General features: G+C 41.4%; 2 protein-coding genes across 13 annotated transcripts in view, besides 1 other annotated feature; one reads left to right on the top strand and one right to left on the bottom strand.

Moving 5' to 3' along the window:
• The window catches only part of PDE1C (phosphodiesterase 1C), an 811448-nt gene that overhangs the window by 714784 nt on the left and 68776 nt on the right, over window positions 1-27888 (top strand). For 6 of the 8 annotated variants that reach the window (XR_001744802.1, XR_001744803.1, XR_007060042.1 and 3 more), the window contains one exon: window positions 2354-2448. Coding sequence is in view for 3 of the 8 variants with exons in the window: in XM_047420443.1 (XP_047276399.1) it covers window positions 2354-2448 (95 nt within the window). In the remaining 5 variants the exon portion in view is untranslated. The remainder of the gene's footprint in view (window positions 1-2353; window positions 2449-27888) is intronic. The other 2 variants (XR_007060044.1, XR_007060043.1) reach the window with 1 other exon arrangement.
• Window positions 2560-3186: an enhancer, noted in NCBI's record as "OCT4-NANOG-H3K27ac hESC enhancer chr7:31749869-31750495 (GRCh37/hg19 assembly coordinates)". NCBI's record gives its function as "activates a minimal SCP1, AML or CMV promoter by ChIP-STARR-seq in primed H9 embryonic stem cells {active_cell/tissue: H9 hESC(primed)}" and the evidence as "EXISTENCE:reporter gene assay evidence [ECO:0000049][PMID:30033119]".
• Window positions 4986-26226, bottom strand: PPP1R17 (protein phosphatase 1 regulatory subunit 17). Of its 5 annotated transcripts, none has more exons than XR_926912.4 (6): window positions 26135-26226; window positions 20918-21035; window positions 17820-17972; window positions 16324-16476; window positions 5727-6237; window positions 4986-5032 (listed from the first exon to the last, which is right to left on the bottom strand). XR_926912.4 is itself a non-coding variant. In XM_011515094.3 (6 exons), the coding sequence occupies exons 2-5, from the start codon at window positions 20997-20999 to the stop codon at window positions 6158-6160; spliced, it is 468 nt and encodes a 155-aa protein (XP_011513396.1). In that variant the 5' UTR covers window positions 21000-21035; window positions 26135-26226; the 3' UTR covers window positions 4986-5926; window positions 6127-6157. The 5 variants fall into 5 exon arrangements, 3 of the variants coding, with proteins under 3 accessions (XP_011513396.1, NP_006649.2, NP_001138595.1); XR_007059983.1 differs by having other exon boundaries at window positions 4986-5926; window positions 6021-6237; XM_011515094.3 differs by having other exon boundaries at window positions 4986-5926; window positions 6127-6237.

The following is a 27888-nucleotide window of genomic DNA, read 5'->3' as shown; positions in this document are numbered from 1 at the left end:
CAGACTGTGAAAGCAGCCAGGGGGGACTATACCCTGCAAAGCCACAGGGCAGAGCTGCCCAAGGCCATGGGAGCCCACCTCTTGCATCAGCGTGACCTGGATGTGAGACATGGAGTCAAAGGAGATTATTTTGGAGCTTCAAGATTTGACTGCCCTGCTGGTTTTGGGACTTGCATGGGCCCTGGAGCACCTTTGTTTTGGCCAATTTCTCCCATTTGGAATGGCTGTATTTACCCAATACCTGTATCCCCATTGTATCCAGGAAGTATCTAGCTTGCTTTTGATTTTACAGGCTCATAGGCAGAAGGGACTTGCCTTGTCCCAGATGAGACTTTGGACTGTCGACTTTTGAGTTAATGCAGAAATGAGCTAAGACTTTGGGGGACTGTTGAAAAGACATGATTGGTTTTGAAATGTGAGGACATGAGATTTGGGAGGGGTTGGGGCAGAATGATATGGTTTGGCTGTGTCCCCCCCAAATCTCATCTTGAATTCCCACATGTTGTGGGAGGGACCTGGTGGGAGGTAATTGAATCTTGGGGACAGGTCTTTCCCTTGCTGTTCTCGTGATAGTGAATAAGTCTCATGAGATCTGATGGTTTTAAAAAGAGGAGTTCCCCTGCACAAACTCTCTCTCTTTGCCTGCTGCCACCCATGTAAAATGTGACTTGCTCCTCCTTGCTTTCCACCATGATTGTGAGGCCTCCCCAGCCATGTGGAACTGTAAGTCCATTAAACCTCTTTTTCTTCCCAGTCTTGGGTATGTCTTCATTAGCAGCATGAAAAGGGACTAACACAGCTGGCCATGGCATTCTGAAGCCATGACACCAGAGCCCTCAGGTGGGCAAGCAGCTGACCCCTGCTGTCTCTGCCTCTACTGACTCCTGAGAGTAGGAGGATTTGATGGACAGGGAACTGTTTTTAGGGAGATGGGCTGCATATTGGGAGGACTCCCTGGTGCCACAGAGGAGACAATGGGTCTAGGAAGCAGACCACCTTCCTGTGGCTGACATTTGTGTTCGGCTCCATAGCGACTATCTAGTCTATTATCAGAGTAAGTAACCTTGTGTTCCTGCAATTAGGCAAATGGTAAGGCAAACTTAGGCTGTTAGGCTTGGCTTCTTACAAAGTCTTTTTATTCATTCATTCATTCACTCACTCACTCACTGTAGATTTTTTGATCATCTACAGCATGGTAAACCCTATGCCAGGTACAAAGGACAAGTGGTACAAAACCAGTTGATATCCCTGTGTTTATGGACCTTACACAACAGTGAGGAGACAAACACTAATCAGTTATACAAATGGATGATCACAAGAAGAGGTAGGAACTATGGAGAAAAAGATTAGCATGGCTTGTGATCAGGTTTCTCCTGATCTAATTAAGAAGGCAAGGAAGAGTTTCTCCTCGAGAAAGTGGCACTTTGCTGAGCTCTAGAGGACGAGCAGATCTTCACTGGGTGGTGAGGGGCAAAGAGTAGGAGATGGGTAGGAGGGAAGGGAGAGGAGGGTCCCCAGCCATGGCAGAGGCCAGTGTCACTGGAATCCAAAGCAGGGTGGGGGGAAGCAGGGCCCAGGCTTGAGATCTCTACCTTTATTCTAAGCAAGGAGAAGATCTTCAGGAGGGCTCCCACTTGCTCAGATTTGTTTGAAAAGGGTCACTTTAATTTCAATGTAGAGAATGGATAATATGGAGGATGGAGTGGGGCGAGGGAAGACAAAAATAACCTTATCACCTCCTTAAAACGTAGGATTGAGAATAATGATTAAATTTTGAGTACTGGAAAGTTGAACATATTTATTAATATACTTACTCATTCAAAAATTAAGAGAGAGAGGGTGGAGAAAACCATCAGAAAGCACTTGTATAATTTACTCTTTCTGGATCATGGAATGATCTCCTTCTTTAACCTCCTGTGTTTTTGGACCCTATTTTCAGAATAGTTTCACACTATATAAACAGCACTAGGCTAAGAGTTCAGAGACCTGAGTTTCTTCCTGGCTTCCTCTCCATCTCAGCTTCCCTGGGTACTTAGTTTTTTCATGATTGAATTTGAGGATCAAATGAGATGAAATGGGAAAAAGACTGAGCAAATGCAAGGGCTCAGAGCACAGTCTTCCTTTTCTGAAAGGCATTATTTAAGTAGTACTTTTAAATAAAATACATATGATTTGATTGATGGATATTAAAGTATATATTGTTTTTCTGAAACCCTAACATAATTATAAGAACACGAGGATCTGTATTATACTCTTTGTTCCACGCTCAAAATACATATTTGACATCAGATGGAAGAGCCACATTTTCCAGGATAAGCAAAATTGTCTTCTATTTTCTGTTGTTCCTTCTCAGGAAGTCTTCTGCAATTTCCTTGGAGGAGTCTCATCTTGCTGGAAGGACCTGCTACTGAAGGTGAGGATACACCTATCCTTTTCTTCTTCAGGAAGGTAAGCTGATAGCTTGGAGTGTCCAAGGTAGAGCTCATTTCAAATAACACATTGTTTTCCCCATAAATACATTTACTTGTGGAGAGTCTTCTGCCCTGATTTTTGGGTCAAGGATGAAGGCCATTATAATGTTCTGAATTCTGCAGACATAATATATTATAGCAAGTTCAAAGGCAATTGCATGTCCAGGAAAACTGGCAGAGTATATTCTCAGTTCATGCGTCTTCTGTGCATTCACTCCCTGCCTTGGGGAGATTTTTGAGTAACACTTTCACACTTACAAATTACGAGTGGCAAGGGAGCCTCATTTACAAAGGATGACAGAGATTCTACAAAATCCATCATGTAACCAGCCTCTTATTCTCAGCTAGCAAAAATAATTGCTTTGCTAACTTATTTTCACAACCACATGGGATCTCAGTCTATCCTTGTTTTAAGAAAACAACCTGGACAGCACAGGGAAAATTCACTTAATTGCATTTAAAAGGAAACACTGCTTGAGTCCTTTATGGTTCTTCCCCAATCCTTCCACACCAGCCTCTGCCTTTTCAAGTGATAATTAGGCATTAGAAATTGGCTGTGTGATCTCAGCCAACTGCTTTTAAAGGGTGTTAGGATTTAAAGAAAGGCTTTGTGTGAAGCTTTTGAAAGAGCGCCAAGTCTTGCACATCTAGGGCCTCCTCATTTCAGGTAGCCTGGGTTCCTGGTAGATGCCTTCAGAATGAACAAATGGCCAACTGCTTTGCCAGTTCCATTAAAGAAACCTCTTTTAGTTTGAGCCTTCTTTCTGAATGGGCTACCCTGTAATGCTTTTAATTTCTTTTCTTTAGTTTCTTTTTTTCCTGAGATAGAGACTCACTCTGTAGCCCAGGCTGGAATTCAGTGGCACAATCACAGCTCACTGCAGCCTCAACCTCCTGGGCTCATGAAATCCTCCTACTTCAGCCTCCTGAGTAGCCGATACCACAGTGCACACCACCATGTCCAGCTTATTTTTAATTTTTTTGTGGAGACAGAGTCTCTCTGTGTTGCCCAGGCTGATCTGGAGCTCCTGGGTTCAAGTGATGCTCCCCCTCGACTTTCCAAAGTGTTGGAATTACAGGCATGAGCCACTGCACCTGGGTCCCTTAATTTCTTAATATAACTATTATTCATTTGGAGGGAAGTTGTTCACAATGCTCTGAGAACTATTTTAATTGAAATATAATGCTAATCATGAAATTTCTACTTTACCTGGCCAGAAAAAGTCCTCAGGGGACAAAGGAAGTGAGGGAGGTTTGGCTTCCACCCAAGTCACCCAGTGATATCCAGGGTTGGTTATGTTTTGTCTGGTTTTGCCTCTCACCATTCTGTATATGCTCTTTTAAGATTGGGACTCTATTACAAAGTCCGGTCTTTCAGTTAAGGCCATATAACTGATGGGATCCCCCTACTTGAAGTCTTTCAGATGCTGTGAGTTGAGTCTCATAATTGCGGCCCATTCAATACTCAGGCAATGGGGATTTGGCAATAGAAAAAACACCGTGCAAACTCTGAAGGTGTCTTTAAATTATCCTATGTTACAGTTGGATTGAGCATTTTAGCTTACGAAGCTCTTTGCCGTCCATTATCTTACTTAATTCTCAAATTATGAACAAGGCAAAGTAAGAATTATTATCCTCATTTTCAAGATAAAGAACCAGACTCAGAGAGTTCCAGGGGCTTGCTTGGCATCACATAGTTGAAGCTAGACCCAAGGCTTTTATTTCCACAACAGCTGGTCTACTTTCTTCCTTAACCCAGGAAGTCAGTAACGATGAAGGTTTTCAGAGTAGCCTCAGAAGTTATCGAGCATCTCTGCAGACATGGCTACAGGTGTACTCTGTGTTCATACAGCAAATCTGATAGGATGAAGTGAGACTGTGTTTTCTGAGTAAAGATCCCTTTGTAAACATTGCTGCTGGTGGTTATACTATCCTCTTATCCATAGACCTGTAATTGCTTTTGGTTTTGTAAAGACTTTATGGTGCCCTCCTTCACCAATTATGCCTCAACCAGCACCCGGCCACAGTTTTATTCCCCTCTACCCAAAGCTGTGGCTGGGGCATCAGAAGTGGGAGCAGAGCATGGAGTGCTGGAATAAAAAAGGTGAGATCATTAGGATTACAACATGCGTCTTCACTAAGGGGACTCCAAACTAGAGTCAATGGATGATATACTCCAGGTGGGGCATATGGCAAACGGGAATGCTTGCTCCTTCCAAAATGGGCATCCAGTACTCAGTTCCAGCTGATGCTGCCATGATTCTAATCAGGCCCAAATTGACAGGTCTTGAGATATTTTTCGAAGAGAATCTGGAAATCCGGAATTTTACATCACTTCTCCTGACTGGATTGTTAAATATTAATAGCAAATTCAAACATTTTAAAATCTCTGCAGGCCTAACAAAAACAAAAGTAAAACAAAGCAAAACTTTGTGAGTCTCTTTTGCAATCTCTGCTCTTTATAATTGTGAGTAAACTGGGTATTCTTAGGAGAAACGCACGAGGACAGAGATGTGGATAGATGTAGCTTTATTTCCGGCAAGCTCTTGTATCTTTTCCATCTTTGTGAGAACAGAAAGACAGAAGGGATTAAACAGTTGGAACCAGCATACATACAGAGCTACCAAATTATCACTCTTAGTTGTGACAATTTGCGTATCTACTTTTCCTCCTTCTAAAAATAGTTCTCACCTCTCTCCTGTCTATTGCCTGGTGGATGAGGCCTGTATGCCTTCCCCTGGGCATCCACAGATTGCAGGCTGGGGCAAGGACAATATACAGACCTCTGCTCACTAGCTAACACCACACTCTCCCCTCTCATCCAAGAAAGTGTAATAGAGTCTAAATAAGTGAGAATGCTAAAAATAACAGAATGGCTTTCATTGACCTTAATTTTTTTACAGTAAATTCATCACAAACATTGATATTTTATCTACCATTGATAATGACTCACTTGTGACACAACTCACAAATGTTGGGACAGCATGTTTAAGAAATATTTTTAAAAACAAAAATAAATTTGAAGATACATTGCTAAGCTTCCCAGACAGACCAGCACTCTCTGCCTCTGGTATCATCAGCCAAGGCATGGTGGGCTGGGTTGACTCCCCCAGCTCATACATTCACATTTAGAGTATCTGGGACAAGGGTCTTAGGAACATCACCAGAGACATTTGGACTCTTAAGATAGGACAGGAGAAATAAAAGACCTTTGTCTGCAAAGCAATCGGTGAGTTAGAGTCCAAACATTCTCACCTCTCTAACTGGCAACAGGGAACCCCACTTGGACTGGTGCTTGGATAATGCTAAGTCAAGTCCTGCCCAGCAGCAAAAACCAAGAAGGAGCCCATGTAATCCACGATCTCTGTTCCGTGAATTGATCCAGAAGATGCAGAAACCGAACCCCAGTGCTTTCCCTGTTACCTCCTCATTTAGGATGATCTGTTTCTTTTCCACTGCATTAGAAAATAAAAATTCAAAACACAGAATAGAAACCATACTCAGAAAGAAGAGAGAGACAAAGAGGTGACTGGCAATTTGATGGCATACATCTCCTGGGGAGAAGGTGTCTGAATCTTCAAGTCAGACGATGACAAAAATGAGAGCAGAAACAAGTCTATTTTTTCTCTAGGTCACCACAGGGAACCAATCTAACCTATTTACAAGTGGTCTCAGGGGAACTATCTTTAAATAGCTATCTTGTCACCATCCTTTTCGTCATCTTCCACGATTGCTTTGGGTCTCTCGTCCCTGAGCAATGTCACACCTGCAAAACAAAGCACAGACCTGCAATTAAGTACCTCTAATTAAAACATTAGGCAACGTTGCAGACAGACACAGTACAAAGGAGCATGGCAACCCAGAAACCTCTTAGTGTCTACAAGGTTACCTGCTAACAGTACCAACCCAGAGAAGGAGCTGGGTGGCTCTATCTAGGCTTCCCAGAGGTGCTCAATGAGGACACGATTCTGGTTACAAAGGGATGCACCACCTGGAAGTCAGAGGCAACCTTCATCCTCTTCTTTAAGTTCTGCTCCTAAGCTTGCAGCATGGCGGGATGGAAAATAACCAATTGCTTTGCACTCACAGTTCTGCCACTCACTTAATCTGTGTTGGGCCAGAAAACACATTCACACCTAAATCTTCTCAATATAACATGAGTACAGTAACAATTATTATAAAGGGTTATTGTGACCATTAAATAAGATATATGTCACAATGTTTAACCCAGAGCAAGTAAATGTCGGCTTTTCCTGTCCTTTCAATATTTGCTCGTTTATTTTCCTTTGGAAAAGAACTGGTAAGCCTCAGGAAGTCAAACTTAAAAGCATTTTACTACATCCAGGGAAATATTGAGCTCAGGCTCTGGACATGCCATTTCTCAATGTCAGTACTGTACCAGGAGGTGATGACGTTCACATGGTTCAGAGCAAAATGAGAAAATAAGGAAAGTGTACTGAGCTTTTCATACAACTGTATGCCTTCACTTTTAAAAGCTGTTCTTTATTTTGAGATTATTTTCCTTCTTTTGGGGATTAAAATATCCTTTCTTTTATGAAATTTTAGAGATGTTAGAAGGTTTTTGAAATGCAACCTTATAAAGCAAAATAAAGAGTTGCTGTTCCTATGTTGGGCTCCACACTATTTTGTTTTAAAAATTTACTGGGCCGGGTGTGGTGGCTCATGCCTATAATCCCAGCACCTTGAGAGGCCAAGGTGGGTGGATTGCCTGAGGTCAGGAGTTAGACAGCAGCCTGGCCAACATGGTGAAACCCCATCTCTAGTAAAAACACAAAAATTAGCCAGGCATGGTGGCGGGCACCTGTAATCCTGACTACTCGGGAGGCTGAGACAGAAGAATCCCTTGAATCCTGGAGGCAGAGATTGCAGCAAGCCGAGATTACACCACTGCACTCTAGCCTGGGCAACAGAGCAAGACTCCTTCTCAAAAAAAAAAAAAAAAAAAAAAAAAAAAAAAAAAAATTACTGGTCTGTGAAATTCAGAAGTCTGAGCACAATTTTCTGGACTGATCACCCCAGAAAGGACCAGCCAAGAAGGGCCACATGGTTCTGCTCATCCTGTGAAGTGTAAAGTAAGGTCATTTTAATGTAAGGTCAAAGGAAGCTGCGATGGAAGGCCAGTCCTCCATGGTCCCTGTCATCCCACTCCAGCCAGCTTCCCCACCACTGCCTCGCACTGCCTCCTTCCTTCTCATAATGAGACGCCTTCCAGTCCATGAAGCATTTCATAAAGATCTACACTTGAGAAAGAGAAGCTGTGCACCACAAGAGGCCTTTCTACCACACTGGACTCCATTCAACAGCAGTAAATTAATGAAAACTATGTGTTGATCTTAATGACTATTCATTTGTTTCAGTTCCTAGTTTGTTCACATGGGTTCTTTACCAATTAGCTGGTATTTATTGGAGGAGAAAAACAATTTCAAGAGTCTGGCTGAAACTACAGCTTTTGCATAAATCACTTATGAAACACAGTGGGAGATATTTCTCGTACACCAGCTGCACAGAGATTTGGATTTCTGTTTGGAATTAAGGCTAGCATGGCAGGAGAACATAGAGTTAGCTATGCTGAGCCCCAAAATTTTCCATCCATCCTTGCTTGATATCTCTTCACATTAAGCCAAAATTGAGTTGATTCAAAGTGGGCAAGAGCCTTTAAGTTCCCAAATCCAGATCAACTTTCTGGTTACTTTTGGTACCCTGGAAACTTAATCATATGAGAATCTGCTCCTTGCTGACTCCCCAAAAGTTCCTGGGATTTCAGGAATAAGAAAAGCCTGTTAAATCATCACAGCCAGCCCTTCTCAAAGTAGGCTGGGCTGTCCACAAGAGCACAGGAGATAATTTCAAGTAGAGGGTGAACCAGCATTTTATATTAATACAGTTAAGAATTAATTTTAATGTCTTATAATGAAAAAATATGTGGTAGCTCATAGAAATCTTGATTTCATGGATATCATTGCTTAGGATGAGCCTTAAGTCAGGAGTATCTACATGTCACGACTGCATTCTTGTTCTTGATGCCTTGGTGACATGAAGATGGCCTGGGTTTGGGAAGCACTGGTCTGGTTTAACCTCCTTCTGACCCTCATGCTTTCAGGGGAAGCAGAGGTGCACCATTAAAGGGATATGCAGACCCTGAAGCCAGAAAGCTTTGCCTATGGTGATCATTAAGCCTTGAGCACTCACTTAACCTACCTGAGCCTCAGTTTATTCACCCGTAAAATTGGAGAAAAAGTAATTTGTATCTTCCACAGTGTGTGATGTCCCCAAATAGACTTAGGCCTACATTGTGGCTGCAGCCACAACCTACATGAACCTCTGTTACCGCATATTTCACATTGTAGGAATCACTGGACAATACATCCTTCTCCGCTATTGAACCGTGAGATTCTCTAAGGATATGCTAACATCTGGCACAAGACTTAGAATGCAGTAGGGATTTAGCAAATGTCATTTCCTTCCCTTCGTCCTCTCTCTATACAGAAGAGTTTAGGGAACTTGGCTGCTTGTAAGAGCTTAGTGGGTTTTAAGACCAAGACTGCCAGTCCAAAGTCTCCAAGGGCCAATCAGCTTTGAAGCAAGCTGTTTTACAGCACAATCCCACCCAGAGCCCCATCTAAAATAGTTCATGCACATTACATTGCGGTCTCAGGGAGCCAGGGCTAGGACACCACGTCTTCTGATAAATCACACTAGAGAGAAAGTTCTATTCCTGGCAAGACAGAATATGTGTCACTTTCAATGGACATCCTGATCCCTTTCTAGTGTAGAAGTGCAGGATTTTGATCTTCGATGTCCCAAACTGCCCAAATGTCCACAGCTCATGGACAATTTTCCAGGAGGATTCTCTTTGATGCTTCCAGCCTCATTATTCCTTTTTCATGGTTCCATTTGTGACAAACCTCTAATAAGACTTCTTTTCACTCTTAAGCAGGCCTTGGTTACCCAGATCTGACTAGTCAGAACCAATGCTTTCTGCCATGCAGTCACTGCGATGAGGGCCCCTGGCAACTGTAGGCTAAGCTGGGAGCAAGCCTGGGTCTGTCAGAGAAGCTTGAGATGACCCCTTTGAAGGGCTGTGCTCGCAGTTGGAACCTGTCAAGTAAGCTCATTAACTAAGGGGAGTGAAGGTAGTTAGCAAGAAATTTAGAAGAGAGACTGGATCCTTGTCCAGTTTTCACTTGCCAAGGGCTAATGAGAGATGTCTCCAGAGTGTATTTGTCTGCGAGTTTCTCTCAACACCCTTATTAGAACCAATGTGAGTCCTTCTGAACATCTGCCGAAGGCTCTATCCTTATCAGCTTAACTACCATTTTGATTACTGCCAAATCTTTAGCTACTAAAAGGCGCTTCAAAAATAAAGTACTTCAGCTAATATGGTAATGAAAGCTAGAATCACACAATATCTGTAATTGCACTTACTTATGATATAGAGATTTGCTGATTCAAGGAATTCCATAATGCATACAGAGGCTATGGTTATACAACCTCTCCCCCTTCCCACCCCAACTCTTGTTTACGCTGTGTTGTTTGATAAACATTTTTGATTCAATAGGGAAGCTACTCTCTTAGGATGTAGATATTGGGATGTAGGCAGCACTCATGCCAGGTAAACAGAGCTCAACCCGTTAGGCTGTTCCTTGAATCAGCAGGTTTATACAGAGAAGTAAAATGCTGTGGCTTAGACAATCCTCACCTTCAGAAATGGTTTGATTTATCTCAAAGAATATAAGATTGAACAGAGAATGGAAGGAACTAACATTTGTTGAGAGTTTTTGATAGCCAAGAGCTCTGCCAAGTAGTTTATGTACTTTATTTAATTGTGTTAACAGCCCTGGGAGACATATTTATGGTCCCCTTTTAGATTTATGGGCAAAATGAAGAAAGCTTTTACAGTTTATGTTAATTGTCCAGGGTCACAAAGCTAGTATGGAGCAGAACCAGGGATGAAACCTAGACCTTTGTGAATCCAAAGACCATGTTCAATTTCGTATACTGGGATGACTCCCTGCCCATAAATATTTTTGTTTTTCTACCAAGTCTTCTCCTAGAAGGTCTTCAATAAAAACAGATACAAGCACGAACAGAAAATAATCAGTCTCCATCAGGTATTGCAAAATTGTGATTGCCAGATAAAACATCAAACCAGCATATATGTAGTGAGTATTGCTATGTAGAAATGATTGGACTAGATATCAAGATCAATACCAGAAACATAAGGCAGTCACAGCCAGTCCTCATGAATTCATCATGCAAGTTGTTGATGTAAGTCAATTTAAGCAGCAGCGACAATACAGGCAACAAGAAGAATAAAGACAATACTAAAAGAGATGACAAAGTTTTGGGTATTTGCATGCTGTGACTAATACAGAGTTAGTTAAGAATAGAAAAGAGTCATTTTGGACCTGAAGGGGTCTGATAGCAGAGGCTTCGAGCTGGCTGACTACTGAAAGGTAATTGGGACCTGGACAGTGGCAGAGCTTGAGGGAAAGCATGTGATGGAGTAGAGGATTAACCTAGGTAGGATTTAACTTAACCTATGAGAAACACAGATGAGGGAAGTTCAGAGCCTCCCCCGGTCCTTGGACCATTTCTCCATTACTCCTCATGCTCTGCACCACCCTATCTAGCTCTGCTCCTTCCTAGCAAGTCTGAAAACATGTGACCCTGCCTATGCTTCTATTTTCTTCTTGTCTTATTTGGGAACAACAATCTATTGGTAGAGGCAAAAAAAAAAATAAATAAGGGTGAAAAGCTGATTTAAGCCATATCACAATTCTAAGGCAGAATTTCCCATATCATAGCATAACCTGTAGAATGACTAAACTAATAAGACTAATAGGTAGTACCAGAAAAAGATCCATGGAAAATAGATCAGATCTGGGTTATACAAAGGCAAAATGATTCCTTTTGCAGGACTTCTAAAAAATTTTATTACAGGCATAACTCAGAGATCTTGCAGGTTCTTCCAGATCACTGCAATAAAGCAAGTATCACAATAAACAGAGCCATACAAATTTTTTGGTTTCCCATTGCACATAAAAGTTAGGCTTACACTATACTGTAGCCTACTAAATGTGAAATAGCATTATGTCTTTAAAAATAATGAGCATAGCTTAATTTAAAAATACTTTATTGCTAAAAATTGCTAATGATTATCTGAGTCTTCACTGAGTCTTAGAGAGGCTTGCCTCAATGTTGACGGCTGCTGACTGATCAGAGTAGTGGTTGCTGAAGGTTAGGTGGCTGTGGCAATCTCTCAAGATGACAGTGAAGTTTTCTGCATTGATGGACTCTTCCTTTAACAATAGAGTTTGCTCTAGTATGTGATGCTGCTTGAGAGCATTTTACTCACAGCAGAACTTTTTTCAAAATCAAGTCAATCCTTTCAAACCCTGCTGCTACTTTATAAACTAAGTTTACATAATATTCTAAACCCTTTGTTGTCATTTCAACAATGTTCACAGCATCTTCGCCAGTAGTAGATTTCATCTCAAGAAACCATTTTCTTTGCTGATCTATCAGAAGCAACTCTTCATCCATTCAAATTTTATCATTAGATTGCAGCAATTCAGTCATATCTTCAGGCCCCACTTCTAATTCTAATTCTCTTGCTATTTCTACCACATTTGCAGTTACGTCCTCCACTGAAGTCTTGAACCTCTCAAACTCATTCATAAAGGTTGGAATCAACTTCTTCCAAACTCCTGCTATTTTTGATATTTTGACCTCCTCCCTTGAGTCACAAATGTTCTTAATGGCATCTAGAATACCAAATTGTTTCCAGAAGGTTTTCAGTTTACTTTGTCCAGATCCATCAGAGGGATCACTATCTATAGCAGCTCTAGGTTTGCAAAACATGTATTTCTTAAGTAACAAGACTTGCAAGTCGAAGTAACTCCTCAATCCAGGGGCTCCAGAATAGATGCTACATTAGCAGGCATGAAAACAACATTAATCTCCTTGTGTGCCTCCATCAGAGCTCTTGGGTGATGAGGTACATTGTTAATGAGCAGTAATAATTTGAAAAGGGTCTTTTTTTGGAGCAGTAGGTCTAAACAGTAGGCTTAAATTATTCAGTAAATTATGCTGTAAACATGTATGCCTTTATCCAGGCTTTGTAGTTCCATTTACAGAACACAGGCAGCTTCAATTTAACATAATTCATAAGGGCCCTAGGATTTTCAGAATAGTAAATGAGCATTGGCTGCAACTTAAAGTCACCGGGGCATTATCCCCTAACAAGAGAGTTGGCCTGTCCTTTGAAGTTTTGAAGCCAGGCATTGACATCTCCTTTCCAGCTATGAATGGCCTAGATGGCATCTTGTTCCAATAGAAGGCTGTTTCATCTACATTAAGAAACTATTGTTTAGTGTAGCCACTCTCACCAATTATCTTAGCTAGATTTTCTGGATCACTTCCTGCAGTTTCTACATCAGCGCTTGTTGCTTCACTTTGCACTTTTATGGGAGATGGCTTCTTTCCTTAAATATCATGAATCAAATTCTGCTACCTTCCAACTTTTCTTCTCTGCTAGCTTCCTCCCCTCTCTCAACCTTCATATAACTGAAGAGAGTAAGGACCTTGTTCTGGATTAGGCTTTGGCTTAAGGAAGGGTTATGGCTGGTGTAATCTATCCAGACCACTGAAACTTTCCCCGTATCAACAATAAGGATGTTTCACTTCCATATCATTCCTGTGTTCACTGGAGTAGAACTTTTAATTTCCTTCAAGAACTTTTCCTTTGCATTCACAACCTGGTTCTTGGCTAACTCGTTGGTACAAGAGACCTAATTTTCAGCCTATCTTGGCTTTCAACATGTCTTTCTCACTAAGCCTAATCATTTCTAGCTTTTGATTTAAAGTGAGAGATGTGCAACTCTTCCTTTCAGTTGAACACTTAGGGGCCCCTGTAGGGTTATTGATTGGCCTTATTTCAATATCTTTGTGTCTCGTGGAATAGGGAAGCCAGGGGAGAGGGAGAGAGATAGGGGAATTGTTTGTCAGTGGAACAGACAGAACGCATACACCACTTATAGATTAAGTTAACAGTCTTATATGGGCGAGGTCTGTGGCACCCCAAAACAATTACAATAGTAACATCAAACATCACTGATCACAGATCACCATAAAAGATATAATAATGATAATAATAATAATAAAATTCTAAACAGTGCAAGAACTACTAAAATGCAACACAGAGACATGAAGTTAACACATGCTATTGAAAAAATGGTGCTGCTGGAAAAATAGACTTGCTAGATGCAGGGTTACCACAAACATCCAATTTGGTTAAAAAAAAAACCACCAATATCTGAAAAGCACAAAAAAGTGAAGAGAAATGGAATGAGGTAGGCCTATATTCCATTAACACTGCAAACCTCTAGTATGGAAATATCACCATGTAACAATTCCTTCTTCCCTTGGGAAGCAATCAAACTTAACAAATTGTGACTGTTGTCTATTATTCTTAAATTAGTTATTCCAAGATCTCTGGACCCCTTGACCAATATTAAAACTGCTCTGAAAGAAGACAGAATACTGCCAAAAAATCCTCTGTGAAGGCCCTTTCACGGGAGACCGTGCTAGCTTGCTCCCCTCTCTGTTAGAAAACAGGAACAGCATTACCCTTCATGTCCCAGTGAGGTAAAAGAGCTGTGATGGGCCATCACAGTTGACTCAGTGTTAAATGAGGTAAGGGCTGATGCAGGATGTTACTGAGGGCCAACAGATCCTGCCCAGGGAAGTAATAAAGGCAGTCCTCAGAACCTTTCCTCTTTCTGAGCAAGTCATCTTCTGGTGTCCAATTTGCCTGACTGTCAGTTTTAGAGAAACCTCCTTTTCCCTGCTTTAGCACCAAATATTTAATTATCTCTCCCACCTAGAATATAAACACCATGAGAGCAAGGACTTTTTCTTTGGGGTTTGTTTTCCAGTGTATGCCCAGCACTTGAGCTGTGCCTGGCACATAGTAGGCACTCAATAAATATTGACTGAGCAAAAGCTAAAGATATCACTGCCTTAGGACTCTTGGATTTGTCTTTTCTGCCTCAACTACTCTGCTCAGTTACCCCCATGACACACCCACATTTTCCTGAGGTCTCTGCTTAAATATCTCTTCCTCGGAAAGGATTTCCTGTGCACCTTGGAAATCTAAAGAAGCAATTTCTATCTCCCATTCTTCATCTAACTAGATTTATTTTCTTCACAGCATTTATCCCTAGCAGACTTTCTATTATGTATTAATCTATATGGTTATTGACTTTCTTCCTGTACCATTGCCTAGAACAGAGCCCAGGATGTGACAAGTACTCAGTAAATATTTGTTAAAAGAATGAAGACAGTTTGAAGATTAGACTTCTGCATGTCCTAAACTCCTTGTACTTTTAGCACATGTGCATGATCTCAGAAGCTTGCATGTAGTCAGTGCTTAGAAAAGCTGGTATGTAGAAATGTGTGTGTGTGAAAGAAACTGAGGGAGAGTTGTCCCTGGCATGACCAGGTGGGGTCAAAAACCCACCATTCATCTTGGTATACAGGTAAGTGGTGAAGACGAAGGGATAGATAGAGGTAATTGGAAGTGGGAAGAGAAGAAGAGGTGGAGGAACAAGGACAGAAGTGCAGAGAACACAAATCCCATGGAGCATAGAACCAGAGCCTCTAATGTGGCTGGGGATCTTAAGCCCCTGACTGTTTCTGTCGTGATGTCTTCTTCTGAGCTGTTTTTTCAATTTTTTTCTTTATTAAATGAAACAGTGGGGAAATATAGTTTTATAACAACAGCCAAATTTTATCTTCTCCCCAGAGTGTTTCTTCTGTTCCTATAATGCTAAGATTCCAAACCACAGCACAGATTAGTGAAAAACTGCCCAAAGGTGAGATAGACCTAGGTTTGAGCCCCAATTCTGCCACATTTTAGTGTTTGATCTTGATCATAATTTTATCTGTTCATTTGTCCATCTAGTCATCTCATCTTTGATCCAACCAATTAGCTAGTTAGCCATCTATCTATCAATTGTATCCACATAAGACTTTAAAGTAGATGAGTAAGTTAATTAAATTCTCTGTTTCTTAGTCTGCAAAACGAGATAATAGCCTCTCTATTATATTAGTCAGTTAATTTATAAAAATCCATGAGACATGATAAACTGAGTGCCTAACATTTAGTAGGATCTCAAAAACATTAGCATATTTTCCCCTCCGTCACTTCCCCAACACAACAATCTGTATAAAATACACACATACACACAGAGTCATACTCTAGCCATGAATATACGTGTCTTATTCCCCAACTTGTACTTCTCAGAGACAAGGACTGTATCTCACAGAGCAGCTCCTTTACAGACTGGGGCTGTGCTCATAGTTCAGTATGATTTTTTTTGTTTGATTTGACACACATTCAGATAGCTATCCTTATTTCTGCATCTCTTTTTCTGTCTCTCATTTTGAGGATTTGGCCAATTAGTCCAAGTGTCTCAGGAGAACCAGCCATAAGACGCAAAATCCGTGGAAGCCTTGGGAGGAGGGCATTCCAGCTCTTCTCAAGGACCCACTGACATTTCTATTCCGTTGGCTCAGTGAATTCAACCAGCTCTGCTGAGGCATGAGTAATGCTCTGACCCTTTCCCATCCCCACATCAGCCCCTGGGGAGCTACTAGTAGAGATAAACCTAAAAGGTAGCACTGAGTGTGGCTTCTCCCCAGAGCACTTCAGGACAACGCAGCTTGCTGGGGCAGGACAACGGCCAGGCCCTGGGGACCTCCAGATGGTAAGGTTCTTGACCTGTCCCCATCACCCCCTGCAAATGCCCTGCACCAGCTTTTTTACCTGCTGCAAAGGGGGACATGTGCAGGGCAGGTGTGTCTTTTCTCCTTGGCTTTTTCTGTTCCAGGTCAGTGTTATGAAGAACAGGGATCATTTTGCCCTTTGGATGTCTCTCTTGAACATCGTATCTTTTAATTAAATGTTCTGAAAACACACCTGCATGGTTAGGGGAACACAGAGAGAAACAGGATCAAATACATATATCCTAATATATGAGGACTGTGCATATTTATAGACATCTGGTGAAGACAGTCAATATAGCTTTCCAAACTTACTTTAATAAAGCAAGACTTTTCATAAGAAGCATTAGTATTTATTGAGGCTCCACTAGGAACCTTGTCTATACAAAAGGTTTTGCATGCTTGATTTTATTTTAGCTTCACTAAAACCCTGAGGAATTTAGTATTATGGCCACCATCACAAAGCTGAGGGAAGTCAGGCAAAGAAATGTGCCCAGGGTATTACAGCTCATAGGTGTCACAGAGCAGTTGAGCCCAAGTTTTTCTGCCTCCAAATCTCATCCTCTTCAGCCAGAGGATTTCATCTGATGTATTGCAAGCTGCGTCTGCACACTTCCACCCTGATACCTCCGCCCTCCTGCTTTCTCACCTCTATGCTACAGTGAAATTTTTCTCCATTATTGAGTAACTCTCTAAAAACAGCCTCTTGCATAAAATTTTCCACAATTCACTACCCACACTGAGCTCCAACAGTCCTTTTTAAGAACTCCCTTATGATGTCACTTCTTACTGCATATTTCAGCTATTATGTGCTGTTGTTATTTCTTAGAAAACTGAAAGATCATTCCCAGAAAGATCTATGTTTCATTTGTTTTGCAACCCTCAAGGTGTGTTGTGAACAGAGATGACAGTAAATTAGTGACAAAGAGGGAGGGAGAAAAGAAAGCAAAACAAGGCAAAACTTTGAAGAATAAGAGAATGTCATGCATCACATCCAAGGGTGTTACAGAGACATGTTAGCTGTTCAGCAGACTGCTTTGCTTTTCTCTTGGGCATTGAGCTGGGTTCATTTCCCAGCTTACCTCATTGTCTGGTGAGGCCTCGTGACTGAAGAAGGCCTGGTTCACGTAAATCTCCCTGTCAGTCCTCCACTCTGTCTACCTCCCATGCCTGCTGGACCTTGGTACTCATCGTGACTGTGGAAGCTTGTGGTGACTTTGCTCACCATGTGTTTATGATGTCAAAACACATGAGACCGGGTCCCTGAATGACTCTTTGAAGCAGAGCTTGCCTCCTCACCCCATGGTTTCACTATTGGTAGGTAAAAAAAATAAACTTTTATTGTATTAAGCCCCTAATATTTTAGAATGTATCTGTTATAGCAGCTTGCTATATTGTAACTAATACAGAGATACAGAGGTGGGGAGTGCACAAATTACTTTAAAATACCTGAATATTTAAGGAAAAATGTGTACGAACAATGCAACCTAGTGGCAAGTGGCTCTCCTTTACAGCTGTGCAGATGACTTTGTCCATTACCTGGTATGAAAGGTGGGATGTGCAGCGCCGGTGTATCTTTCCTCCTTGGTTTTTTTTGGTCTGACTCAACATTCAGGGTGGCCTGTACATTTTTTCCCTTTCTAGGCTTCTTTTTGAGATCACAGTCCTTAATGAACTGGTCTGAAAGATCATCTAATTTTGACAGGATACAAAGAAATAAAGAATATAACATGATTAAGGATCCAGTCACAAACTGTTTGGTTCCTAATTGCACTTGATGACAGGACAGAGGTGATTTGGCCTGAAAAGGAAAAGTGTTTATTTATTGTGGCCTATTCCACAAAGGACTTTATTAGCCTTGCATAAATTCATATAACAAAATCGAAAACTAGAATGCTGTAAAACTCCAAATTAAGGAAACTCAAATGGATGGATCACCGAGGCAAAGAAAAACTTAAAAAATATGGTCCGGCAAGCCACAGAGTGGGTTTGAGTTAACTTTCTGATGGGAGAATAGGTTCTCTCTGCTAAACGCGCCTCCATTCTTTTTGCTCAAGACTTGCTCTCTTTGGAGACCCCAAGGGCCAGTATGGAACCTAAATCTCCCTCGATCTTAGAAAGGTTCCCTCGGTCCTCAGTGAATTTCTCACTTGCCTTCATCATTGTGCCAGTCTCATCCTCCTGGTGATCCAGACCTTGGGTTTTGTATTTGTCTTTTCACCGTTCCTGGCTTTGTAACCCTCCTATTTGCCCATCCTAACTCAAGATCCTACTGTCTTCTGACTCATTTATTTACTTTTCTCAATCCTCTGCATTACCCCACCAGAGCTTTGAAGCCTGGCTTTTACATCGAGTCTATCAGAAGTCGTTACGGGTAATGAATCCAATCTGATCACGCCCTGCCCATTCAAGTCTCTCCTCTGCTCCCTCTTACTCCTCTATCCTTTGTGTTCTGCCTTGGACTTCACTGTCATTGTTTCAGCAATGGTTCACTCTTCCATAATGGTTTACCTGCTGCTCCAGACACAGCCTTTCTGGAGATTAAGGATTATAGTCTTTTTGTAATTTTATTCTTAGTTGCCTCTCCCTGCAATAAATGGATGTTGAACGGTTAAATGGAGTCAAGCTGATCTGAGTTCAAACATGGACTCTTATCATTTTCTAGTTCTGAGAACTTGCACCTTCATTTCTAGAAACTAATATTCTCTCAATCTTTAGAGTGGAGATAATATTAATATTAAATCTGTGTGTGTGTGTGTGTGTGTGTGTGTGTTTGAGAGAGAGAGAGAGAGCTAAAATTGTTAATGTTTGCAAAGCATCTGATACAGTTGATATACTTCAGATGTCCCAAAATATTCACTCTGGCCATTGCTCACCCTCTAACCTTCCACTAAACTTAGGGGAAAGCTTCCCATCTTCATAAATGTATCTGTATTAACTCCAGTCCTGAGTGTTCTTTCTCATTTTCTTAATATCCACAGCATTTTTGTTTAAGTAACATATTTAAAAGATGATCTAGTTATTATTTCTGCATATGTCTTCTCTGACCTCTTTACTGACAGGTGCCTTATCTTTTAACTCTTCAGCAGCAATTAATAAATATTTGTTGAATGAATGCTTGATGAATAAACTGGAATATATTTTGTATAAGAAACTATTCCGTTAGGATTCAAAGAAGCCACAAGACAGTGAAACTTTTTGTCTTCTTTGGACACTCTAAGTATGGCCTGGATATAGTTTGGCTAGATCTACAGATATGAATAAGTATGGAGAAATTTTAAAAGAGTAATTGGATATTTTAGCTCCTTCCCTTCCCTTTCATTTCCTTCTCTTCCTTCTCTCTTTCTTATTTAAAAAGTATTCAGGTAAATTTCTCTCTTTCTTACTAAAAACTATTCAGGTAAATTTCCTTAAAATGTTGAGGATTAAATGTCTTAAACCTTGGTGGGTCTAGATGCAAACTCTGTTATTCATTCATTTATTACATCTTTTCTGATTTTTCAATGCCTATGCTTTATCAGTTGTTAAATATGAATACCATCCCTGAACATATGATCTCATTGAGTTCTCATGCTAAGTCTACAACGGTGTTATACTCTTTTCTCCATGTTGAAGATGAGGAAACTGAGGCTCAGAAAGCCAGGTAAAAAGCTGAGGGGTACACTGCTGGCAGGTTATGGTATCAGGATTAAACCCAGCCTCTTGGGACTATGTATCTTAATGCCTGGCTGCAAACACAATTTTAAAAGCTTATTGCCACATAGCACAGTTAATCTTTCCCCAATATTTTACATGCCATAGTCATGTGTTGAATAAATGAATGCTGCTCTGAATGGGTACTGCCTGCTGTGGGTCTCTTGAGGTACAAACCTGTCATGGGCTACAATTCAACCCCAGGATTCTGCTCAGTGCACAGCCATTTGCTTTAATTTTGACTTTTACTTCAATTGCACTTTTCCCCATTTTTGGAGAAATCTTGAACATAAAATATCTTGATGGCAAATGGGGAGAGGGGAGAGGAGGGGGGAGTCATAACCACGTGAGGCATAGACAAAGGCTATGAATAGGCAAAAGGCCCATCCATCAAAAGTCTGAATGTCTCATTTTTAGAAATGGGTAGCGGCAGAAATGTTTCTGGTATTTTCATTACAAAGGTTATGCAAAAAGTCAGTTCTGGAAAGGAAACAGATTGACAATAAAGCAGAAAAAGGCTATTTAAAATTCTGTCTTGATAGGCAAAGAGAGATATTTGAAATATTTTATTGGCACTGCACATGGGGTATAAGTGTGTCAGGAAATACTGGAAACAAGCTGTACTGACACATTCCATTTATTGCCTCAAAAATGCTCTGCCTGGGACTCTGTCAGACCCAGAAAAAGAGGACGATGCTTCCTCTCTCTCTCTTTCTCTCTCTCTGTCTAATGAACTTCTTACTGGTGCTTCAGCTAATATTTACATGGCAGACCCCACAGACCCATGGCTATTTGCCTGCCCATCTGGTGTTGGCTGTCACCAGAAGGCACAGACTATCAGGTTTCGGGGGGTGCCCTCTCTCTGACTTGCCTGCAAACCAAATGGCTGAGACGCCTCTTCTCTGACTTCCACCACTGACATTCACAATCGATCATTTGTTTACCTAAGTGGCTGCAACGAGGGTCTAGCTTGTCCAGTCTGTCTTCTGAGAGTTCCAGTGGCTGCATTTGCTCAGTGGACATCATCAAAGGAGGGTGGGTGGATGTATTTCTTCTCCAGCACTAAGGAAGTATAAAAAACAGTTAATAAGTATGGCTCTGTTTATTCATTCATTCAATCATTTGCTAAGTAAATATATTTGTTGAGCACCTGCTATTGTGTTCCCAATCCAATCCTGTTTCTTTATGTGTGCTTCTTAAACTTGGCTATTAGAAACTCTAAACTTGAGATTTAAGCCAAAATAAAATGAACCCTCCCACCCTCACACTGACAGATTTATTCATAATTGTCATGTATCAAATGTCCAATATTTGCCCTCTCTCAGAGACACATTGAGAGTTTCAGAATAAGCAATTGTCAAGTCTGAATAAGAAGTGAATTAGCTGAGAGTCACAGAAAATCATGCTTAAACCTTGCCTATGTTTTTTCTGTTGAGTTCTGCAAAGTAGGATTATGTCTACTTCACAGATGAGGAGACAGAGGCTCAGAAAATTTAATTAATTTAGTCACACATCTATTAAATAGCCAAGGCTATATACAGGTCCAGTCCTGCTGACTTCCATTAGACACCTGAGTCTCTTAAAAATAAAATGAATCCTTTGAACCCGAATTGAATAAGGCTTCTGTTGTGGGTTTTTTGCTTGGTTTTTTTTTTTTTTTTTTTTTTTTTAATCATTACATTCTACAACTATTGTATAAAGTAAAGAGACTACCTCCCCATCCACATTATGATGGTGGTAGAAACATGGTAGGAGAAAATCTGGGTTTTGGATAGATCTTTATTTTCTCCCTAGGGATTCCAGACATGAGAACAAATCTGTCCCCGTCCCCACCCTCCATCTTTCCTGGAAAGTTCATTGAACTTTCCAGAGCTATTAGTTATAGCTGTCGCCCAGGAGCAGTGGAATTCCAGAATGGATATGTGTCAGGTCTGAAGGAGAAATGCATTAGCTGAGATTTATAGAAAATCTTCATTAGAGCCTGGCTAGATTCTGTATCTTGAGTTCTTTTTAGATAATTTATTACTCATGTCCTACTATAGCAAGAGTGGTGGGGGAGGAATAAATAAGATTAAAATCGCCCAACCAATTCTTTTCTTTTGAGATTTCTTGACAACCAGCATGCAGATGAACACACAGACCAGTTGTGCTAATGTTTCAAGCTCATAAAATGAGTTCAACTCTGTTGTCTTTTGAGGAATAAACCGGTTTTCTCTGAAAAGGTGGGAGGGTCTCTTCCTCTATGTGCTGAGATCACTGGATAGCAGATGGAGCTATTAACTGATCACTTGAGCACAGCTTTTAGAGTCACTCTGTGCAGACTGATTGTACTGAGTGACTTCAGAAGAAATCAATTCAGACCATTGTTTTCAGTGTTTGTATAGAGATTGCCAACTCCCTGCGACCATCAGGAAGTATGCTGTTAGCTTGGATGGGCCATGGGAACATCACTCAGGATGAGTGCTGAGGTCTCAAGGCAGCATCAGATATGGTCTTATGCACCTATTTAACCAATTTTCCTCCTCTTCAGGCAGAGTCATGGGCCCAGTCATACATATTATGTTGAAAATTACCCCATAGAGGATCTGTTGAAAATATTCATTCCTCAGAAGAAGAAACTGAGGCTCAAAAATGTTGAAATGACATACCATTAGTAAAACACTTAGAATCAGAGTAATCATTTGAAGCCACGCACTTACTATCTACTGAAGGTCCTATCTGCTGTTAGTACCTTTATCCTTCTCCCCGACCCTTGAAAGGTAAGGCGGTTTTTAACTTGGATCCTATGGCTGTTCTTATGTGCCTAATAGCAGGTTATTTAGTTTGAATCTGGATTCTTGAGTCAAATAGACCTAGTTTAAATCTCAGCTCTTAAACTAAAAAGCCATATGACTTCGATGAAGTTGCTAAATCTTAAAGATGTAGTGAGAGTAAATGGGGCCCAATGTAATAGAATCATTTTTGCCCCCTCTCCACACAAGTTAAGTCTGCTACAATAAAATTTGCAAAGGCTAACATCTTTGTGGTGCCCACACAGTCTGGCACCCAGAAACATATGTCCCTCTCTGTCCCCCGAGCTTACCCTGAGTTTCCTCATCTGTAAAATAGAGATAATAATACCTACTGGGTGGAGTAACTGTGAAGATGAAATAGCATAGCTGCATGCTTAGCACATTGTAGTCATAATTCAAGTGGCAGCTATTTTTATGTAATGTTGTCTATCTACCACGCTAGATTTTTGGCTAAGGAAGACCCGTTGTATAATGAAAAGATTCTAAAAAGCAATTGAACTTTTCTTTCAGATGCTTAGCCACGGGAGGTCCAGGCCTCCTCTGAGCAAAGCAGCTATGGCAGCACCAGTCTAGAAAAAGAAAGCCTGTCTCTGGCCGATGAATTGAATAATCAAACATGTCAGAGGCCCCTGGACAAGGTGAGGGAAAGCAGTGATTCGTCACAAAACTGACACATGCTTCCTCCACAGCATAGCTCATCTTGTCTATGGGAGAAACAACACTATTTCAAATCAGTGTGATTTAAAGAATGGTGGTGGTGAACCAGCAAGACTGTTTGCTAAGGGGCTGAGAGACAATTTCCAGATCTGGGATTTTACATTACAAGAATATCCCATGCCGTGCAGGGATGTGTTTTGCTCATGGGGTTAGAAGATACTTTTATCATGAATGATGTCATTACGGACTTCTTAGGAGAAAATTTTCACACAAAGAAAAGAACAAGCAAGTGGAGGGGAAAGACATTTGGAGTTTAGTGTTGGCTTATTGATAATTTTCATAGCCTGTTAGTATAATGACCCCATCTCTCAACTCACTCTCCATTTCTATCCTCAGTGAGAAGGGGCGCTCTTTATGAGTGAGCTGTTTTAAGACATGAGCCGGTCTAATTCTTGACATAGGAAATGGAATATTTCCATTTCCTATTCCTGACTCTACCCACGCCTTCCTCTCTTTAATTCAGTCTCTACCCCAAGCAGGTGTCATAAAGGGATGCTGCACTTGTTGGGCTGCCCAGGGAAGGTTTCATCATCTCCCTGTAACTTGGGAACTTTCTAAGGCACCAGCTCTTTCTTTCATGCCTGCATAGTTGGTCCTCTGCATCTTCAGAATTCAACCAAAAAGCTAGGGCCTCCAGAGAGGCTTGTTGTCTAATACTTCACATTTGGGGGTGTTTTCATAAACTGTGTCTACTACAAAGACTTGTGACCTTTTTAACATCCTCTTTCCACTTATTGGTTCAGTGTGGGCTCTGAATTCTAACACTCACACAGGGACGTGGACTGCCACTGTCATTGCAATATTGGCCACCCACCCTTGTGACAAGCCTGGAGTCAAACGTGCTGTGGAAATCAGGACTGTTTAAATTATATAACAGCTCTAGAGGGGTCTCAAGGAGCACCAGCAGTCACATCCATTATTTCTGCAGCAAAACTATGAATATTCACACTAAGTGACATAAAGACAAACCACAAAAAATTCACATTCTTTCAGGTCAGGCTTTGCTACCAAATGAGTTTGTGTTGAACTTAACAACAAACCTTTTGGTTTTCAAAATGTTTCAGATTTCTTAATTAGAGAATGAAAGAGTATTGATCGAATTACTCTTCTGGTTGTGGTTGTTTGACAGAATGTAGGTATTCAGTGTAGTATGCAAGAGACCAAGAGATATGATTTCAGGGTTTGAGAAAGGATTTCAGGATTTCAGATTTTAAACTCTTGTAACTTCCTCTTACTAATCCTTACCTTCCTTTTCACAAGGGACAAAACCTTTCTTTTTACAGAGAGATACTTGTAAATGCAAATACCACTAAGAGCAGCAATATGTAAATTGATGTCACAATACACAGGGATTGTTAATGACAAAGGTCACCTTCTCTTTTGAGAACAGGAACTGAAAGGGGGAAGGAACTGGGTGCCAGAAAAGGGACCCCACTATATTGCAGAAAGGCAGGCACACCAGCGGAGCTGAAACACATTAGTTGGTTCAGTGTGTGGTCAGAAGCTGGTCTGGATTTTTTGTCTTTTCTCTTATCATTGAGCGGTTTTCTCAGTTGGATGTGAGAATATGCGGTTTAAATTATGGGAAGAAAATTCCTCTCAACTTTAAGATTGGATGCTGTGAGTCAATATAAGGTAGAAGCCAACGTTTGGCTGCTTGTACCACTCTCTAGCTGGGTGAACTTGGGACAGTTATCTGTTCTCTCAAAAATTTAGTTTTCAAATCTGTTAAATGGGGGAAGATAGTGGCTCTTCTCCAGGGTTGTTGAGAGTATTACCCATAGAATGTGCATGGAGTCCCGAGCCCAGGTCCTACACACTGATATTTTCGTGAGTGTGAGGGACCTTCTTGGATCTTTCAGTCCTCCATTTGTGATTATATGTCTATCTAAATTGATCTATCAGAATTATCTCTTTATCCCATCTCTGGCCTTCTCTGAAGCTGGTAATGAGATGAGAATAGTTCAAGACAAAAACCAACCCATTTCTAAATCTTGGGAACATAATAGAACTGATTCTCAGAAGCGAGTTGACACTTAGCTTACCATACGGTATTCTGAAGAATATCCCCCAAAGTAATCAGGTCTTGATTTACTGGATGGAATAAAAGGGTAGAAGGTTGTATCCACAGCCTATGTGGTATCTCGTTAATGCACCCTCTGGCTATGTAAAATACATATTCATTGTCAAACCTCTTTTTAACCAGAGGATTGAATTCAGGTCAAAAAGTACCGTCTTTTAAAATCAGATTTGTTCATTTAGAAAACCTAAATTGGCAGTATTCCTGGAGGAGAGACTGACTTAAAGTAGGGCATGGAGAATGTGTTTTGAGAAGCATACTTTCTGTACTTTCCCCAGCCTTGGAAGATAAACCTCTCTATCCTGTGTGAATATGCAGATACACCAACTTCATCTTGAAACTTTGCAAATGAGTTTGTGAGGGTTCAGTCTTTTACAGAACTCCATTCCCTCCCTTGGAAGAATGACTTGAAAGTGGTAACTTTTTCTGCTGTCCACTCGGCCCCAGCTTAGCCTTGCTCCATAAAGCACAACCCCGTGCCACCAGCTACAGCCTTCTTTGTCCCAGTAACTGACTGGAAACTTGCTTTTCTCACCACAAAAGTTCTTGGAGTAAAAATCTGAAGCACTTACCAATCAGCGCAGATGCAGGGAAGCGAAGGCGAGAGACAGGGAGGGCGTGTGTGCTCACCGAGGCTGGGCCTGGCTCCTCTGCGGCAGTGGCTGCTGCTGGCCGGCTCCAGCTCCTCTTATCTAGGGACCAGCTGCTGCTGTTGCCATGGGGATGCTCTGTTTCACAGGCACCAGGGCAAGGGGGATGGAGAAGGAAAGAGGACTAACATCTCCATCGCTGCTCTCCACGGCAATCATTGTACATTACAAAAGTACAGTATAGAGTCGTGCTTTGAGTTTCCGGTGTGCACACCAGAGAAATTCAGACAAACCAGCTACATCATTGAATTCCCATGCGATAGATTTTTTTTGGCCTGATTTTGTAAATATGGAAACTGAGGCACAAGAAGTTAAGTGATATGCCCAAGAGAGGCCACAGCTAATTTCGACTCTCAAAGCTATTTAAGTTTAAATCCAGAGTACTTTCAATCACTATTGCTGCTTCTCAAAGTACTATCATGAGGAGGAAGAGAAGGGTAGCTACTGCTAACATTTATGTAAGGCTACCAAAATGCCAGACACTCTTCTAGAGACTTCACACATATCTACTTACTTAACCCTCAGGCCAACCTTGTGAGATGAGCTACAGTCATCATCCCATTTTATTGATGAGGAAGCTGGGGCTCAAGAGTTACCAAATCATCTGACCAAGGTCTCCCCACATGGTGAAGCTAGGGTTTGAATGGGGTAATGAAATGCTAGGGTCCACGCTTGTAACCACTTTGCAATACCTCTCAGCAAAGAGAGCATTTCAAACAGCACATAGCAAAGAAAGCAGCCCCCAACTCTATAGGTTATAGTGTGCAGGCCAGAAAAAATTTCCTCCTTCAAAGGAACAAAGCCAAATGTACCAATATTAGGAATACGTAGGCACTCAAGAGTGGATGTTTAAGCAAGGTGGGAGAGGCGGGAGACATGCTGTCTTTTGGAGAGGAAGGTTCTATGTTTTGGGTCTGCTCACTGGAGGAGAGCCCACTGGGGTTTGGAGGAGCAGCAGTTTTGACTCCAAAGCAGGAAGGCCAGTCTGGGAGATCAGGTAGGTATCAGGACCCACTAGAAGGGCTCCAGACCCCCTGATAGCAGCCAATGGACCACCCAGTGATGCCCAAGAAATATGTTCTCACAGAAGATACGTGAGCACCATCCACACATCCATATTTTTTCCAGTCTTACCTGAGGTTCCCTGCAGAGCAGGTCCCTGGCAACCCCTTGGTTTCAACTGCCTGCTTGCCACTGGCAATGTGTTTGTTGGTGCCTCCCTCCCACTTGCCAGGATCCCAAATAACAGGGCTAGAACCATAGTAAACTCACCAAGAGGTTGACTCCTAGGGTTAGACTTTTGCCATGGTAACAGATAAGCAGAGAATGGACTTCTTTGCCTGTTCCATTTTGTGTTGATCCTTATTGGGACCTCCTGGGAAGAGATGAGGGTTGCTGAAAGGTGATGCTCTTGTCTAGGAAGGGAAGGCCCTAGATGTTGAGGGACAGGGCCTAGAAGCAGGTCTGTGTTCAAAACTGCCTGCTTTATCTTCTTCATTTTTTAAATTTTATTTTATTTTCAGTGCTGGGACACATGTGCAGGACGTGCAGGTTTGTTACATAGGTAAACGTGTGCCATGGTGGTTTGCTGGACCTATCAACCCATCACCTAGGCATTAAACCCTGCCTTACTTTATCTTCTTAACAACAGCCTTGTTGGCCAATGAGTTAGCAGC

Source organism: Homo sapiens, chromosome 7, assembly GCF_000001405.40.
Source record: "Homo sapiens chromosome 7, GRCh38.p14 Primary Assembly".
Classification (NCBI taxonomy): domain Eukaryota; kingdom Metazoa; phylum Chordata; class Mammalia; order Primates; family Hominidae; genus Homo; species Homo sapiens.
The sequence above is the reverse complement of the archived record's forward strand: the minus strand, read 5'-3'. Positions and strand labels throughout refer to the sequence as shown.

Bases quoted from the DNA above. Each gene is read 5' to 3' on its own strand.
- PPP1R17 (NM_006658.5), bottom strand. From the start codon at position 20,999: ATGATGTCCACTGAGCAAATGCAGCCACTGGAACTCTCAGAAGACAGA. The intron at 17,973-20,917 runs GTAAACAAATGA...TGTCAAAATTAG, and splicing joins CCCTCGTTGCAGCCACTTAG to ATGATCTTTCAGACCAGTTC. The intron at 6,238-16,323 runs GTAAAAAAGCTG...TTTGTTTTGCAG, and splicing joins CATGTCCCCCTTTGCAGCAG to GTGTGACATTGCTCAGGGAC.